This window comes from Homo sapiens, chromosome 8 (assembly GCF_000001405.40).
Source record: "Homo sapiens chromosome 8, GRCh38.p14 Primary Assembly".
NCBI lineage: Eukaryota > Metazoa > Chordata > Mammalia > Primates > Hominidae > Homo > Homo sapiens.
This window is the reverse complement of record NC_000008.11, coordinates 58,699,928-58,701,113: the sequence shown is the minus strand read 5'-3', so window position 1 is coordinate 58,701,113 and position 1,186 is coordinate 58,699,928. Positions and strand designations below refer to the sequence as shown.

General features: G+C 44.8%; 1 annotated feature.

Moving 5' to 3' along the window:
• Positions 327–898: an enhancer, noted in NCBI's record as "OCT4-NANOG hESC enhancer chr8:59612775-59613346 (GRCh37/hg19 assembly coordinates)". NCBI's record gives its function as "activates a minimal SCP1, AML or CMV promoter by ChIP-STARR-seq in naive and primed H9 embryonic stem cells {active_cell/tissue: H9 hESC(naive and primed)}" and the evidence as "EXISTENCE:reporter gene assay evidence [ECO:0000049][PMID:30033119]".

The window sequence follows — 1,186 nt, the reverse complement described above, 5'->3', positions numbered from 1 at the left end:
TGGTTGCCGTAAAAAGTATCACATACTGAGTGACTTAAACAACAGAAATTTATGTTCTCATAGCTCTGGAGGCTGGAAGTCCAAAATCATGGTGTTGGCAGGGTTGGTTCCTTCTGAGACCTCTCACCTTGCCTGTAGGTGACCATCTTCTCCTTGTGTCTCCACATGGTCTTCCCTCTTGTTCATATTTGTCTAAGTCTCAATGTCCTCTTCTTGCAAGGACACCAGTTACGTTGGATTAGGGCTGACCCATGTGACTTCATTTTATCTTAATCATCTCTGTAAAGACCCTATCTCTAAATACAGTCTCATTCTGAGGCATAGGGGGTTGGGGTTTGAACATATGAATTTTGGGGGGGCTGGGGGCTGACACAATTCAGTCCAAAGCACTCCCTTCTTTCCTTCCTTCCCAGGGTTGTTCAGATGTCTTCAAATCCACCACGCAATGAAGTGGCTATGAGGCAGCGGAGAGGGCCTGAGTGTTGTGACCTTTGCCTAGCAGTGTGACCTGGGGATGTTCTTTAGCCTCTTAGCCTTGGTTTTCCCATTTGTAAAATAAAGCTAGAAATACCTTCCTCACCAGGGAGTGGTGAGATCAAAGGAGTGATCAACAGGAATAAAGGAGGTGATAAAAGGGAACAAACAGGCACAGTATTCCTCAGGTATGGACTGAAGCCCCGCTAAGGCTCCTACCGCCCTGGAGAAATGAATCAGAATCCTTCACACAGCCAACAAGACCCTGTGTGACCTCATGCCCATCTAGCCCTGGCGGAGCTCCTCTGAGGTGAGAGGGGCCTGAGCCACATAGAATTTCTGATACCTCTGATAGGAAACAACAACAAAGAGATAAACATAAAAATGCCAAAACAGAGAATCAAAAAATGTTATATATTTTAAAATATTTATTTAATAAATTAATGCTTTAAAAATTAAACAGGCAATGACTGTATATACAACCTCAACTGGAGATCAGTCAAGAGTTTAAGTAAGTCTGGGTGCAGTGGCTGACATCTGTAATCCCAGCACTTTAGGAGACCAAAGTAGGAGGATCACTTCAGGCCAGGAGTTGTAGACCAGCCTGGGCAACATAGCAAGACCCTGTTTCTACCAAAACTTAAAAATTAGTCAGGCATGATGGTGCGTGCCTGTAGTCCCAGCTACACAGGAAGCCGAGGCAGGAAGATCA